The sequence below is a fragment of the Homo sapiens genome, chromosome 2 (genome assembly GCF_000001405.40).
Source record: "Homo sapiens chromosome 2, GRCh38.p14 Primary Assembly".
Classification (NCBI taxonomy): Eukaryota; Metazoa; Chordata; class Mammalia; order Primates; family Hominidae; genus Homo; species Homo sapiens.
Window position 1 is genome coordinate 63,465,441 of NC_000002.12, and position 18,465 is coordinate 63,483,905.

At 36.1% G+C, this 18,465-nt stretch overlaps 1 protein-coding gene across 21 annotated transcripts in view; it reads right to left on the bottom strand.

Annotated features, from left to right (window-relative positions):
- The window catches only part of WDPCP (WD repeat containing planar cell polarity effector), a 721,268-nt gene that overhangs the window by 345,882 nt on the left and 356,921 nt on the right, over window positions 1-18,465 (bottom strand). The window lies entirely within an intron of this gene.

Below are 18,465 nucleotides of genomic sequence, written 5' to 3' on the forward strand. Positions count from 1 at the left end.
GGATCCAAAGTGAGGGCCACAGGTTCCTATTCTTTCTCAGTTCACAGTACCATTTGTGTCTCTCTAATTTTTTACAGTGCCCCTAGGCCAAAAGAAATACCAATAGTTCCATTTATTAAATAGATTAAAGCAACTTAATAAGTATTTATGTCCTAATAAGTTAATAGCCATTTGGAAATATAATACACAGAGATTGAAAGAAAAAGATTTTTATTTCATTCCTAAATAACTACTTACTAACAAGTTGTGTGTACTAACAGAAGACAGGCACCACAAAACTTGTCAAATTTTGAAATCAAATTGGACATCCTCACCCTAATTCCTGTTCTATGCTGATTATTGTGTAGTAGCTGCTTTTTATCACAGCAAGCCCTGAAAACCCAGCTTCAAATAGCTATGACAACCTGAAAAAGAATGTAGCATAAACTAACATTGAAACTCTGAACTATCTGGGGCTAATAGTTTGTATCTTCGACAGTAGTCTCTGTGTTTTCCTTGAGACTTTAAAAAATATCCTGCAGCATGCCTGTGAATTCACTGTAGTACCCAGGGTGCCTCTGTGCCTAGTTTGGGAACTTTAGGTCTAGGTGGAAGACTTGGCTCAGATAAAACAAGGGACTGTTCTATTATGGGAGAAGGATGAACACAAAAATAGACCAATTTATATGCTTAGTGGGGCCTCACAATTCAACCTAGGATTCCACTAAGACCAACAGGACTACCAAAGGACAGGTACTTCTTCACTGTGGAGAGCCACTGTGAACATTTTATATACAATACTATTTTATGAGTAGTTATAACTGCTTTTCATTTCACAGTCACTTGTTAAGTAGTTTATCTGCTAAGTTAATATTTTTATTTTTGAAAAAAACACTTTATTAAAAAAACTAAGGGACATATAAATTACAATTTGGCAAAAGTACCTTATGTGTTTTCTCTATTAGTTACATTGACATATATATATATAAAACGTAATATTCTCAAATATCACGAATATAAATTTGCTGTGTTTTCACACTTAACCTTAGATGCTTAGTTTATACATACATTTATATCACATTCTAACTTGTACATTTAATACAAAGTTATAAATTTAAAATAAGTCACTTTTTAAGTTTCTACAAAACTGATAAAACCTGATTAAAAAATCAGTACTAGTATTTAAATATAATTTATTAAAGTCTTCTCATTAGCTAACTATGGAAGTACAACTTTACCCTCCCTTTAAAAACTAGATAAATATTTGGTATGTGTTTGTAAAAGACACGTGAAAAACAACAAGAGAGGAGTTAGATTATTCAGATTTGAACTCATTTAGCTTGACACATATGATTAACTATAACTGAATAAATATGAGAAAAATTAATAGTCCTGAACTGGCTTCCTTTGTAGCAAAATACGTGGAAGCTTCCAAAACGTTATTAGTCATGAATGCCAACAGTGGAGCCAGGAAATTAAGAGTTTCTTTAAAGAAATGTTTTAAAATGAAAACAATTAATAAAAGCAAAGAAATAACCATTTATGAAGAGAACAGGAAGAAAATGTTGATTGATGATACAAAGATATATTATTAAAAAGAAGACCAAGTGTTTCTTTGTGTCACAACCATGTTGCAAAATCGGGTAAATATTCTACTGTATTCTTAAGCATAAATAATATATCAGTCAATTATCATAGGTCATTGAATTTTGGATTGAAGTAGTCAAGATACAATGTAAATTTCCTGTTTTTCTTGGAAAGGAATAAAAATTTTGTCCAAGGTCCAGCGGTGGCTCACACCTGTAATCCCAGCACTTTGGGAGGCCAAGGTGGACAGATCACCTGAGGTCAGGAGTTTGAGAGCAGCCTGGCCAGCATGGTGAAACCCCATCTCTACTAAAAATACACAAATAAGCCGGGCATGGTGGCACACACTTATAATCCCAGCTGCTCAGGAGGCTGAGGCAGGAGAATCACTGGAACCCAGGAGGTGGAGGTTGGAGTGAGCCGAGATTGCACTCCATCCTGGGCAACAGAGGGAGACCCCATCTCAAAAAAACAAACAAACAAAAGAAAATGCCAGGCGTGGTGGCTCAGGCCTGTAATCCCAGCACTTTGGGAGGCCAAGGCAGGTGGATCATGAGGTCAGGAGTTCAAGACCACCCTGGCCAATATGGTGAAACCCCATCTCTACTAAAAATAAAAAATTAGTCAGGTGTGGTGGTGCACGCCTGTAGTCCCAGCTACTCGGTAGGCTAAGGCAGGAGAATTGCTAGAACTTAGGAGGCAGAGGTTGCAGTGAGCGAAGATTGTGCCACTGCACTCCAGCCTGGGCGACAGAGCAAGACTCAGTCTCCAAAAAAAAAAAAAAAAAAAAAAAATTGCCCAAGGAAGACTAATTATCAAGGGCATGATATTAAACTCACTAGCTGAACATTTAAGATTCCTCAGGTACAATGTTGTGTGTATACACAAACATACACACATCCTTTAATGTAAATCTTTGTGAGTGTGATGGCTATGGCTGTATGCCACTCAGAACTCCTTCAAGAGGAACTGAGGCTGGCGGTAAAGTTGATGGAGAGAAGCCACACTTTCCCTGGGTGGCTACCAGCCAACGACTGAGCATCACTGGGTACTAGGGCCAGCCCAATCCTGTCCAACAGGGGATTCCTCTAATGAATAACATTTGGCCTGGCTGAAACTTTCTCAGCACCATGCTTCAGCCTGCACCTCTTTCTATCCAACCCTCCTTCCTTCTCTCTCCTTTCACATGTTCAGACTAGCATCATAGTTTAAAAGCTCTCCCCACCTACTCCTGCTCCCTTCTTCATCATCTTTCACATCTCCCCCACAAATCTCTCACATGGCTAGTACTATCTTGCCATCTGCTTCTTAGAAGACCCAAACTGACACTGAGCATGATTGAAAAGGATTTCAATTAAAGGAATGCATGTATAAATTGTTAAAATGTCAGAGAATACTTGGAATTAAAACAGCTGTTTACTGTCTTACCTCCACCCCACAGCCTCTCATCCCACTCTCAAAGATAATCATTTTCAATTCTCTTAGCAGCTTCTTCTGTTGCTACCTCACACTTCTAAGTAACATGATATGTTAGTTAGAAATGCATTCTTGTGTATGTAACACAAACCTGAAAACTCACTAGTTAACCAAATAGGGCTTGTTATTCTCACTTAGAAAGAAATATGAAGTTGAGCAGTCCAGGACTATAAAGCATCTCCATGATGTCATCAGATACCAGGCACCTACGTTCTATTCCCTCCCCCCTTAGCAGGTATGTTTTTCTTTCTGTCTGTCTCTCTCCTTCTTTCTTGCCAACAGCTCCAGCAATTAATGCTCCCCTTTCCCTGCATTGATTTCCCTCTTTCCATTGGATTATTCTCATTAGCATACCAATATCTGTTATTTCTCTCATCTAAAAAAGAAAGAAAAAATTAAAACCTCTTTTGACTCCATTTCTCCATCAAGCTCCTACTCTATTTCTCCATTTTCCTTTACAACATTAACCCTTTTTATAAGCCCCTAATTTCTCTCCTCCCATTTTCTCTTAAATACAAGAAAAAAAAAAGCCCATTAAAAAGTGGGCAAAGGACATGAACTGACACTTTTCAAAAAAAAAAGACATACATGCAGCCGACAACTCTATGAGAAAAAGCTCAATATCGCTGAGCATTAGAGAAATGTAAATCAAAACCACAATGAGATATCATCCCACACCAGTCAGAATGGCTATTACTAAAAAGTCAAAACATAACAGATGCTGGTGAGGTTGCAGAGAAAAGGAATGCTTATACACTGTTGGTGGGGGTGTAAATTAGTTCAACCACTTGGGGGAAAGCAGTGTGGAGATTCCTCAAAGTCCTAAAGTCAGAAATACCATTTGACCTAGCAATCCCATTACTGGGATATACCCAAAGGAATATAAATAGTTCTATCATAAAGACACATGCATGCATATATTCATTGCAGCACTATTCACAATAGCAAAGACATGGAATCAACCTAGATGCCCATCAGTGGTAGACTGGATAAAGAAAATGTGGTACATGTATACCATGGAATACTATGCAGCCATAAAAAGGACTAAGACCATGTTCTTTCCAGGAACATGGATAGCGCTGGAGGCCATTATCCTTAGCAAACTAACTCAGGAACATAAAATCAAATACCACATGTTCTCACTTGTAAGTGGGAGCTAAATGATGAGAACACATGAACAAAAAGAAGGGAACAATAGACACTGGGGCCTACCTGAGGATGGAGTGTGGGAGGTGGGAGAGGAGCAAAAGAAATCACTACTGGGTACTCAGCTTAGTACCAGGATGACAAAATAATCTGTATAACAAACCCCCATGACACATATTTACCTATATAACAAACCTGCACATGTACTCTTGAACCTAAAATAAAAGTTTTTTAAAAAATACTTTCCAATCAGGCTTCTACCATCACCTTCCATTGAAACTGCTTTTATCTAGATCATGAATGACCTGCATGCTCCTCCATGCAGTGGCCAATGGCCACCATCTTGTTACAGGTATCTTGGCATACTAGTAACACTCCACTTTATTCTTGAAACTTGGTTTCCAGGACACCACACTCCCTTCATTGTGCTCTACTTCTCTAGCTACTCCATTCTGTCTCCTTTCTTCATCTTCCCTTTTCTCCGTCTCTCTAATCTTAAAATGTTAGTGGACTCCAGGGCTCCACTCTTCAGTCTCCTCTGTTTCTCTGTCTACACCCACTCCTTTGGTGATCTTCACCAGTCTTTTGGCTTTTAGTGCCATCTGTGTTGCTGCCACTCAAATTTATACATCTGGCCCAAATCTTTCCCTCAACTACAAATTCCAATAATCAACAATCTATTTGACTTCTCTAATTGGCTATCTAATGGGCATTTCAAACATACCATGTCCAAAATTGAACTTCTGATAAGTCCCTCAAAAATATCTCTTCTCAATCTTCCCCACATCAGTAAATGACAACTCCATTCTTCCAATTCCTCAGAAATTTCCTCTATACCCCACATTTGATCCATCGGCAAATTCTGATGCCTCAACACTCAAAATATACCCAGAATCTGGCCATTTCTCACCACTCCACTGCTATCATCCAGTCAAAGCCACCATCACACCTTACCCTGGACTACGGCAACAGCCTTCTAACTCATCTTTTTCACTGTCTTCAATCTATTCCCATCAATAGCTACAGTGATCCAATTAAAAAGTAAATTGAAACATATTTCTCCACTCAAAACTCTTCAAGAGCTTCTCTTCTCATTTAGAGTAAAAGCCAAGCCCTCTGGATGACCTAGAAGACATATAACTAGTGTCACATTTCCTTTCTGACCTCAATTCCTACTACTCTTCTTGCTCATTTCACCCCACTCATATCAACTCCCTGCTATTCTTCAAACATGCCAGGTATACTCCCATCTCAGGGCCTTTGTACCTGTTGTTCCCTCTACCTGGAACGCTCTTCCGCAGGTATCTTCCATGGTTTACTCCCTCACTTCCTTCATATCTTAATCTCAATCTGGGGATACTTCATTAAGGCCTTTCCTGGCCACCAAATATGAGGCCCAGCCTGCCCTACCATCCCCCATCATGCTTTCTTGCTTGCTTTTATTTTTCTCTAGTAGTTGCACTCTCTTACATATTTTCCTTATTCATCTTTTCTTGACTCTGTCCTCTTTTAGAACATAAGCTACATGAGAACAGGGATATTGGTCACTTTTGTCCCTTTTGTTCACTGCTATCCCCAGCACATAGAATACTATCTGGCATATTGTTGGTACTAAATAAATATGCATTGAGTGAATGAATGGTCACAAGCTGCCCCTACCCTTTCTGGATCATATCTCAGATTCAGACTTCTAAAAGAAGGCGAAGAGCAGAAGCGGAGAAGTTATAACCCAATTCTTGGAAGTCCCACCAGTAACCTCTGCTTAGCAAAGCAAGACGTGCTTCATATGGCCAACTGCAGCTGGAAGGGGAATAGGAAAGCCAAGAATTTTTAATTGGTTATATTGCTACTCTGAACATCAAAGTCAGTTCATAAGGAAAAATGGATGATGGACAAGCAAGGAGTAGTGTCTTCAATAGATGCTGTTTCTTGATTTAGTCATTACTTATTGACTTCCCATTACCATATATGCAGATTTACCATATCTCTTATTATCTCTTATTAATTATCTTACATTAAATGATCTATCAGTTGCTTTCCATCTCTTCAACATCCTTCCTGGAACCTCCCATTCCCTGCCCCTATTTGGACTAGCTGCTCTCTGAGACTAAGGCACAGTCATTCTAAAACTTTGTTTCACCTCTTTCCTGTATGAAATTCACTGTTTCTTGATTCCTAAGAATCTTGTTTACTCTATGGCTTTAGGGCATCACATCTTTCAATAACTTCCTGAGAAAAGTTCTTGGCAGGTAAATTTTTTTGAGAGCTACTAAGTCTGAAAGTGTCTGGCTTGAATGACAATTTAGAATTTTTTTTTTAATTATTATTATACTTTAAGTTTTAGGGTACATGTGCACAATGTGCAGGTTACATATGTATACATGTGACAATTTAGAATTTTAGATACAGAATTATAGGCTAAAAATCACTTTCTTTCCGAATTTTGAAGGCCTCATTGTATTCTAACTCCTCGTGTTACTGTTGAGAAGTCTGATATAATCCTGATTCCCAATCTTTTGTATGTATCTTGCTGTTTTTTCTTTTCTTTTTTTTTAAACTCTAGAAGTTTTTTGGATTTTCTTTTTTTCTCTCTTTGATTTCCTAAAATTAACAAAAATGCCTTTTCTAAAATTCACAAAATATGCCTATTAATCTTTTTTTAATCATTGGGTCCTTTCAAACTACAGACATGCCTTCAGTTCGGGGAAATTTTCTTTTATTATTTCTTTTATTCTTCTCTTCTGTTTTCTATTATTAGTTAGATATTACATCTTTTGACTTAATATTCTAATTTTTTTTATCTCCTATCACCTTTGGTTCATTATCATGTCCCTTTGTCATTCTGTTCCACATTATAGGGATATTTCAACTTTATCTTTCAAATGTATTAATTTTTCTATTTACGCTGTCATGTTCTTGCAAGAATTCCTTTCCCTTTTTCCTGATTATTACTTTTATTTTTTATTTTTTATTTTTTTGATATGGAGTCTCACTCTGTCTCCCAGGCTGGAGTACAGTAGTGCGATCTTGGCTCACTGCAACCTTCGCCTCCTCCCGAGTAGCTGGGATTACAGGTGTGTGCCACCACGCCTGGCTAATTTTTGTATTTTTAGTAGAGACAGGGTTTTGCCACATTGGCCAGGCTGGTCTGGAACTCCTGACCTCAGGTGATCCACCCACCTTGGCCCCCCAAAGTGCTAGGATTACAGGCGTGAGCCGCCGTGCCCAGCCAATTATTCCTTGTTAAAAACAGCATACCATTCTTGTTTCCAGGATGCAACATCTTCTCTTATTTCTCTGTGGATACACATTTTAATTCTCTGAATTTAGTTCCATTTACGGCATTGTCCCTGATTCTATTTTCTGAAGCCTTAGACTTACAGATCTGAGATTTACAGATGGAGAATTTCCACAAAAGTATGGTGATCTCTGGCTCTCCGATTACATTTAAAGGTGATTAGAAAGTTGGTTTACATGGGTAGGCTTGTTAACTTGAGCCTCATTGTAAGGAGGTTAGTTGGCACAGCTACCTTTTCAGAGAGAACTGTCAAACATCAGTATGTATACGTTTTACTCTGGGAAGAATAATCTATTTTTCCAGAGAAGGATCCTCTAAGCAAGTAACATAGAGACATAAGCCTTGTTGCTGGAGCAGGGAAAGAGTTGGGAAAAACCTCACTATTCTGGATACAGACTCAATTAATCACCTTATTTTCAGTCTAGCCACCTCATGTTTACTTTTTAATGTGCTTAGTGTTTTCAAGTCCAGAAACCCTGTGGGTTGGTGTCTCCCAAAAATTATTCCATCTCATTTTCTCTTTATACAAACTTTCAACATACCCCCTTATTTTAAGTTCTACCTCCTAATGCACTTGGTCATCCCAATATTTGTGCCTTTCTGGGGTTCTATAGTACTAAACTTTTATTCCCCATTGGTATCTTTTGCTGCAACCACTGATATTTCAGGAAAGCCTGTGGTCTGTAAAGTCAGGTACCACATAGCCATCTGGTTTGCAACTTCCAAAAACCGATATCTCCTATTTTCACAGCCTTTTTATTCTCTTTGTCCTCATGACTTTACATCTTTTTTTTCCCATTGCTTTACTATAATTTAGTGAAGTTATAAGAGGAAATGAGAATAATAATATAGCTTTAATTACCCATGTTTAATGGGAAGACCTATGTGTGTTCCATATCTTACTGTGATTGAGGATATTTTTATTTGAATATTTTTTCTATAATTACGTTTTGCTGAAAAACAGTATGATATACAGTGACTAAGGGCATGAACTTTGAAGCCACCTTATTTGAGTGTGAATCCTGGTATGACTTACTAGTTGTGTAATTAATCCTTATTCCTGTTTTATCATCTATTAAATGGAGACATAATAGCTATCTCTAAGGGCTGTGAGGAGTACAGTGAGTTAATATTTGTTCTATGAGAAATGAAAATGAGTTAATATTTATAAAATACTCAAAGATTGCCTGGCACATAGGAAATGCTATATAAATTTTAAATAAAAAATGTATATTCAGGTAATATAGAACTTAAATAAATACATACAGAATTGAAGAATATCCAATTACAGGATATCAGAGGTAACTAGAATTGTGTCTTCCAGTGCATTTTTTAATAATTTTACACACATAAATACATATCCATGGCAAATTAGAAAATTTATGTTACATAAATGGAATCAAAGTATACATAAAAAGTTCTGCACTAATTGGCAGACATAAGATGGTTCTCAATTTTAAACATTTACTTTAATTGGACATTTATGTGAATGTTTCTCTAGTATACATATCTAACAATAGAATTGCCCTCCAATTGGCAATTGTACACTCTGACCAGTGATTTATGAAAATACTCATTTTCCTATAAACTTACCATTAATATCTGAGGCTGTTAAATATTTGCTTATCTCCTGAGTGGAAAAAGTAGTATCTCACTGCTATTTTAATTTGTACATTTTAATGATTGGTAGGAAAAGCTCTTTAAAACCATCTGTATCTGAGAGGGATGGGCAACTGGGTGGAGGAAGAATAATAGGCAGATTCAACAATATTGGTAATAATCTAATTCATTAGTTCAGTGTTGGGTTCACGTGTTTATTTTATGACACATGAAAAAGAATATATGTAATGTATTAATGTAAGTTCAAATATTATGTGTTAAAATAATTAGGCCATATGTACAGTATATGTATATCAACTATGTAATCTTTTAAGCAAATACTTGTAAGTAAATGTCTGCACAGTAAAAAGATAAATATCAAATGGTGAATAGTGGGTAATACTGAGTGGCTGAATTAGATGATTTATGTCCCTTTGGGCTTCTCTGTGTTTTCCAAATTTTCTGCCTTAAGCATGTCTGTTATTTTCATAATTTTAAAGAAAACCAGTAAATACTTTTTTTTTAAGTGGGAAAATATAAAGTGCTAAGCTGCCACATACTGGCTAAGTTCAGTAGCCCCTACACAGTATTATTTATTTGTTTATCATAATAGTGAAACTAGCCCAACCCTGCAACAAAACAGTTGTAGAGTATGTCAAAAGAGGAAATCAAATACACATCTATGGAGCAATCTTTTCAGACTACCTTTCTAGCCCTTAATTTGTGCTTATCAAAAGACAGTTTTTCTTTGATGGTACATTTCCCCTGACTAGGAATGTTGTCCTTTCTCTTTCTGCTTGCCTAAAGTTATGTCCTTCCTGCAAAGTCCAGCTATGTCCAGTCTCCTTTATGAAATCTTAACCAACTACTTTAATCAGCAACAACCTCTGAACTTAAGATACTGTACTTTAGATATTAAACTTTAGATACTGTATCAACAAATATAACATTTAATATCAAATTATCCTTTAATATTTTATACATTAGTTTCATTTCCCAAATATATTTCAAATTTCCATCTAATATTTTCACTAGTCCCTAACATAAAGATGGGTTTCTTGTTGAGCCTCAACAAATGCCTGTTGATAGAGAGCTTAATAATAACAACATTGAGACTTGTAAGTAGTTAAATATTAAAACAGGAATCAAAATATAAGTTAAGGCTTTTTCAGGCCCTCTGACTTCTAAACCCTCTAATTTTTAGGGAAATAAACTTCTCCACAGTTCCTCATTACTCTAATTGATCTTTATGTTTCTTCTGTTGGCTTAATTTTCCTCTCCTGTCCTCCAAATGAGAAGATCCTTGGCTCTAGCTCTTCTCCCAAGATACTCATCTACTCCTTCTTGAGGGCACCCTCTTAGATGGTTTTAGTATCACCTCTTAGGTGATTTGGGAGGCTGTCTCCTCTCAAATTTTCAACACCAACCTTTCACTGCGGTTCCATACTTCCAATAATATCATCATTTGATTACCTCTGGTCACTTCACATGTAACAGAGTCAAAACTAAATTTTTTACCTGTCATTCTAAATTTTTCTGGCTTTCAAAACCCTCTGCACCTTAAGCTCACTGTACTTATCATTTGAAATGATTTCAGGGCCTCTGGTTCTCACGTGTTACCCTACATCCCACTGCCAGGCTAATCCTTCTATAAGCCTAATTTTAATATGGTACTCCGCAATATGAAAGTGTTTACAGTGTTACAGGACAATGTGTCAGTTCCTTAATATAACATTCAAAGTCCCCGACGAGGAAGTTCCAAGGTGCCTTTCTAGTCCCTTCATTCTTCAACATGAACCATGTATTTCTAAATGGGCTCACCTCCTCAATACTATGTAGACACCCTATTTAAGTCTCAATTAATATAATTCCCTTTTTCTGGAATACTTTTCCTTTCGGCTTAACCAAATTTCACACAGCTTTTTAGGTCTAAGTAAAGTTATAAATTCTCCACAAATTTGTTCTTATTTTATGCTATGCTTTCTCTAAACTTCTACCATCATTTTACTCAGTGTCATACAATTTGGCACTCATTAGTGTCCTAGTGATTTCATGTGTCTATTTTCCTTGACTAGGTTATGCTGTGGACCCAGTCCATGCCTTATATTTCTTTAGTGACTCCCACAGTTCTTCCCACAATGGTTGAAATCAATAAATACTGTGTGATGAGTTTTGTATAAATAATAAGCTATTATTAATAGTTATAACTTGAAAACATGGTATGTCTATTATTATTTTATGAGAAAAGCAAATTGAGTTTCGCACAACTTGACAAAAAGAAAAATCAAGTTCTACAATTAAGGGAGTTGTGATCAAATGAGTTTCATAAGGTCACAATTTATCTGTGATAGGCTTGGAAAATAATTTGTACTTTTACATAGCCTGTCAAATAATTTACCAGAGGCATTTAAAAAGGAAACTATCTTTAGTTGACCTTTTATGATTGTGCCTGAAAATGCAGAATTGTTATGGATGGAAACCATGGTACAGCTGACTATATTATATACTTTTATAGTTAAATTTACATGCACAATTCAAATAATTTAATCCAAAATGAACATATATGAAGTTACATCTATACTTAATGATAATACTGTTTTAAACTAATTGCATAATAATCTACAAACATGAATGTGACTTAAACCATAATACTTTATTAAATTCAAAAATTCCACCAGACTAATGAACAATTTAATAGTATATTAATGTTAAAACTATTATTCTCTAGGAACAGATTTATAATGATTTAAGAAATTCAAAGCAAGAAATTATTAAACACTTTTAGTGAAATGATTTTAGGAGACAAAAAAAATGTGAGAAATATATTAAATAGCTGGTAAAACTAAAACTATATATCTCATACCTTTTAATGTATCCCAAACTAGGGACAGGCATTGTCTGAAGAAAATCAACTTTAAAAGACAATTTTTATCCTCAACATATGTATAGGTAAGTCTTGATTTGAAAACCATTCTGGGAGGTAGAAGGAAAATGGTGGATAGGAGGCAGGACTAAACTAAAGCTCCCACTCAGACACACAGAGCAGCACGTGGGGACACACATCATGAACTTTTGCTCCAAGAACTACCACAGGAACTTAACAGAAAAGCCAAAAGAATCCACAGACCCTCTGAAGGAAGTAGATTGCTCCTGCAGGCCCTGGGAAACAGCCCCAAAACCGTGAGTGCCCGAAGTGTGAAAGTGGGAAAGGAGGATCATCCACCCCCGAACACACACCCTAAATAGGGAACCTAAAGGTCTAGATCACAGGAGAAGGATCTCACCTTACCTGGAGCTGAGACAATTTTAGAGAGCCAAGCAAAACAAAAGGGTAGAAGCAGCAGTGGGAAGAGAACTATGGGCTCTCAGTCCCCAGGGAAGCCATTTCTGACTTTTGTCTTGCAGAGATCCTTGGGAAGGGCTCCCTGGGAAGAGACCACAGGGAGAAGGAAACTTCCAGCTCAACTTTGTAACAATTTCAACCAAATGTGAATGTGAAGTTTGCTGGACAGAACTCAAGGGAGGGGGTGAATTGGGAGTGCAGACACAGCACAGAAGAGACAAAGAGTGACATTATATAATGATAAAATGACTTGTCCAACAGGAAAAATATCACAATCCTAAACATATATGCACCTAACAATGGAGGCCCCAAATTTATAAAACAATCACTATTCGACCTAAGAAATTAGATAGACAGCAACACAGTATTAGCAAGGGACTTCAATACTCCACTGACAGCACTAGACAGGTCATCAAGACCAAGTCAAAAAAGAAACAGTGGATTTAAGCTATACCCTAGAAAAAAAATGGATTTAACAGATATTTACAAAACATTCCATCCAACAACTGCAGAATATACATTCTATTCATCAGCATATGGAACTTTCTCCAAGATGGACCATAGAATAGGCCACAAAACAAGTCTCAGTAAATTTAAGAAAACTGAAATTATATCAAGTACTCTCTCAGACCACAGTAGAATAAAACTCCAAAAGGAACCCTCAAAACCATGCAAATACATGGAAATTAAATAACCTGCTCCTCAAAGATTGTTGGGTCAACAATGAAATCAAGATGGAAATTTAAAAATTCTTTGAACTGAACCATAATAGTGACTCAGCCTATCAAAACCTCTGCGATACAGCAAAGATGGTGCTAAGAGGAAAGTTCATAGCCTTAAATGCGTACATCAAAATGTCTGAAAGAGCACAAACCATCTCAGGTCACACCTCAAGGAACTAGAGAAACAAGAACAAACCAAACCCAGACCCAGCAGAAGAAAAGAAATAACAAAGATCAGAGCAGAACTACATGAAACTGAAACAAACAAACAACAACAACAACAAAAACACACACGATAAATGCAACAAAAAGCCGGTTTCTTTGAAAAGATAAATAAAATTGATAGACCATTAGCAAGATTAACCAAGAAAAGAAGAGAGATGATCAAAATAAGTTCAAAACGGGAGATATTACAACCAATACCACAGAAATACAAAAAAAAAAAATCATTCAAGGCTACTATGAACACCTTTATGCCCATAAACTAGAAAACCTAGAAGAGACGGATAAATTCCTGGAAATATACAACCTTCCTAGATTAAACCAGGAAGAAATAGAAACTCTGAACAGACCAGTAACAGGCAGCAAGACTGAAATGGTAATATAAAAAACTGCCAACAAAAAAAAGTCCAGGACCAGACAAATTCACAGCTGAATTCTATCAGATATTCAAAGAAGAATTGGTATCAATCCTATTGACACTATTCCACAAGATAAAAAGGAAATCCTCCCTAAATCATTCTATGAAGCCAGTATCACCCTAATACCAAAACCAGGAAAGGACATAACAAAAAAAAGAACACTACAGACCAATATTCCTGATGAATATAGATGCAAAAATCCTTAACAAAATACTAGCTAACTGAATTCAACAACACATCACAAGATAATCCACCATGAGCAAGTGGGTTTCATACCAGGGATGCAAGGATAATTTAACATACTCAATTCAATAAATGTGATACACTGCATAAACAGAATTAAAAACAAAAATCACATGATCATCTCAATAGATGCAGAAAAAGCATTCGACAAAACCCTCAGCAAAACTGGCATAGAAGGGACATACCTTAATGTAATAAAAGCCATCTATGACAAACCCACAGCCAACATAATACTGAATGGGGAAAGGTTGAAAGCATTTCCCCTGAGAAGTGGAACAAGACAAGGATGCTGACCCTCAACACTTCTATTCAACATAGTACTGGAAGTCCCAGCCAGAGCTGGAACAAGACAAGGATGCTGACTCTCAACACTTCTATTCAAAATAGTACTGGAAGTCTCAGCCAGAGCAATCAGACAAGAGCAACAAATCAAGGGCATCCAAATGGGTAAAGAGGAAGTCAAGGTGTCACTGTTTGCTGATGATACAATCGTTTACCTTGAAAACCCTAAAGACTCCTCCAAAAGGCTCCTAGAACTGATAAACTAATTCAGTAAAGCTTCAGGATACAAAATTAATGTATACAATCAGTAGCTCTGCTATTATCAGTAGCCCAACAGCTACCAAGCTGAGAATAAAATCAAGAACTCAACCCTTTTACAATAGCTGCAAAAGAAAAAAAATATTTAGATATATACCTAACCAAGGAAGTGAGAGATCTCTACAAGGAAAACTACAAAACCCTGCTGAAAGAAATCACAGATCACACAAACAAATGGAAATACATCCCATGCTCATGGATGGGTAGAATCAATATCATGAAAATGGCCATACTGCCAAAAGCAGTCTACAAATTCAATGTAATTCCCATCAAATACCACCACCATTCTTCACAGAACTAGAAAAAACAATCCTAAAATTCATATGGAACCAAAAAAGGGCCCGCATAGCCAAAGCAAGACTAAACAAAAAGAACAAATCTGGAGGCATCACATTTCCTGACTTCGAACTATAATACAAAGCCATAGTTACCAAAACAGCGTAGTGCTGGTATAAAAATAGGCACATAGACCAATGGAACAGAATAGAGAACCCAGAAATAAACCCAAATACTTACAGCCAACTGATCTCTGACAAAGCAAACAAAAACATACAGTGGGGAAAGGACACCCTATTCAACAAATGGTGCTGGGATAATTGGCAAGCCACATGTAGAAGAATGAAACTGGATTCTCATCTCTCACCTTATACAAAAATCAACTTAAGATGGATTAAGGACTTACACCTAAGACCTGAAACTATAAAAATTCTAGAAGATAACATTGGAAGAACCCCTCTAGACATTGGCTTAGGCAAGGATTTCATGACCAAGAACCCAAAAGCAAATGCAATAACAACAAAGATAAATAGCTGGGACCTAATTAAACTAAAGAGCTTTTGCACAGCAAAAGGAACAGTCAGCAGAGTAAACAGACAACCCACAAAGTGGGAAAAAATCTTCACAATCTATACATCTGACAAAGGACTAATATCCAGAATCTACAATGAACTCAAACAAATCAGTAAGAAAAAAAACAAACAATCCCATAAAAAAAGTGGGTTAAGGACATGAATGGACAATTTTCAAAAGAAGATATACAAATGGCCAGCAAACACATGGAAAAACGCTCAATATCACTAATGATCAGGGAAATGCAAATCAAAACCACAATGTGATATACCACCTTACTCCTGCAAGAATGGCCATAATCAAAAAATAAAAATAATAATAGATTTAGTGGGGATGTGGTGAAAAGGAAACACTTTTACACTGCTGGTGAAAATGTAAACTAGTATAACTACTATGGAAAACAGTGTGGAGATTCCTTAAAGAACTAAAAGTGGAACTATCATTTGATCCAGCAATCCCACTACTGGGTATCTACCGAGATGAAAAGAAGTCATTATACGAAAAAGATACTTGCCCATGCATGTTTGCAGCAGCACAATTCGCAATTGCAAAAATATGGAACCAGCCCAAATGCCCATCAATCAACAAGTGAATAAAGAAACTGTGGTAAATATATACCATGGAATACTACTCAGCCATAAAAAGCAATGAAATAATGGCATTCACAGCAATTTAGATGGAATTGCAGACCATTATTCTAAGTGAAGTAACTCAGGAATGGAAAACCAGACACTGTATATTCTCACTTATAAGTGGGAGTTTGATGTGAGGATGCAAAGGCATAAGAATGATACAATGGACTTTGGGGACTCACAGGAAAGGGTGGGAGGGGGGTGAGGGATAAAAGACTACAAATAGGATACAGTGAATACTGCTCGGGTGATGGGTGCACCAAAATCTCAGAAATCACCACCAAAGAACTTATTCATGTAACCAAACACCACCTGTTCCCCCAAAAACCTATGGAAATAAAAAACAAAAATAAAATTAAAAAATAAAAACAGGAGAAAAAATAAGTAAACATCCTGAAAAATAAAATAAACTACTATCCTCCAAAAAAAAAGAAAGAAAATAATTCTGAATTTACAGGTGACGGGAATTAGTTTTTAAATGGTACAATGTGCAGATCATTGGATTGACAACATCAACTAAGCTTTGGTAAATGATGAAAACTCACTGTTTGACACAGAGAAAGATCCAACCTCAGATTGCATCCTCTGAAATCTTATGTTGCTGTGGTTGCCTGGCTCATTTTTAAACAATTGGACTTTTTAAAGCAGTAAGGGATGACAACTAAAATAAATTCATAAATCCTAAATTTACCATTTCTTGGGAGAAAATGACGTACATTAGCAGAGGAGTAGCCAAATTAAAAGACTGAGCGTCCAAACATGTTAGCATGAAGATGTTGATGAACTTTTTCACTCCTTTTCTAAGAGTTATAGAGCATTATGTTGCAGTCAGCTGACATGTTATCTCTGGAACCACCATACTGGATATGTGCACAAAAGGAGGTCCCTTGGGGAGCCTGTTGAGGTGGTTTACTTACTTTATAACTAAGGAAAATTTAACAAAAATTTAACTAAAAGGGCTAAGGGGTTCATTCCCTTAAGCTAATAACGTAGCTTGAACATCAAAATTTTAATTTATTGCGATACCAGAGATCTTTTGAAATAGAACCTACATAGATTTTTAGAAGAACTAGCTAACAGTCTTAACTAGAAACTGAAGAAGTGAAGGGATAATGTTAGGAGGTCTCTCAAAGACTTTAAATATGTGAAGACTAACCTAGACCTGTGGGCAGGGTGGAGGTGAAGTTATCTTGTTAAAATATACCACATCAAGAATGTGCTGAGAGTATAAGGTCTATTTTAGAAATATCTTTATAATCATAGAAATGAAGCACAGAATATAACAGAACAACAAAAAAAGATAAGTCCTATTAGAAACGTTAAAAGCAGATTCATTGGTACACCAGCCTGATTAACCGATTAGATTACTGTAAATTACAAAAGTAATTATATATATATTTTATCATGAAAATTCCCTTTCTGAGTTGAATTAATGTAATAGTGAGGGACATTCTTCTCCAGACATCCCTTCGTCAGACACACACACAAAATTACTATTAAATTAAAATTCATTAAACTCTATCTAAAAAGGATTGTCTTTTGGGATGCTCCACTGCATATTTTAAGATGCCCGACATGTTCCAATTTACCCTGTGTGATGGGTAAGGGTGGAGGCCATGAGACATGCCTCTTACTATAGGTGGCAGGCTGGCCCTCTGGTCAAATAATTCTGAGCCTGTTTTTAACGTGAGTAATGGCATTAAAAACTACAAGTTTGGTACTAAGTTTGAAACTTTCTGGAGCGTATTTTGTATTCAAGTTTTAAAGTCTGATTGAAATGTACTATTATGCAAATAAGCTATAATTTTTTTAAATGCCATCCTTTTTAATAGTATCCTAAGGCAAATTTAAGAAGTATTATAATTCTCAAAATGCTAATTCACCCTTGTAAACGACCTCTGAAAAATAAGTTTATGCCAGTTGAGAAGGTAACTAAATAGTTGCCTCCATGAGTAAAGGTAGACTAGACAAAAAAATGAGGAAAAACTAGCATCCACAAAAATGATAGTATATATATTCAAATAGTAGATTAAGATCTGTTTATAATTGCTACAAATTTGACGTTGTAGCTTTATGAATAGAACCATGGGCCTAAACTACAAACAAGAATGATTACACAAAATAAATCACATTGTAAAAAAGAATTTAAATTAATATAGGAATATTTGATTCCATACATCAGTTACAATTATTATTAGAACTAATGCAACTTCAATTCCACAGATGACTAATAATTATTCTTTTTATCACAAGTATATTAAATTTTTCTAGGCATATAGTACTTTTTAAGCCTATCAGCAAAGCTAAAGCATTTGTCATTATCTTGTAATCAGTGTACACTAATTATTAT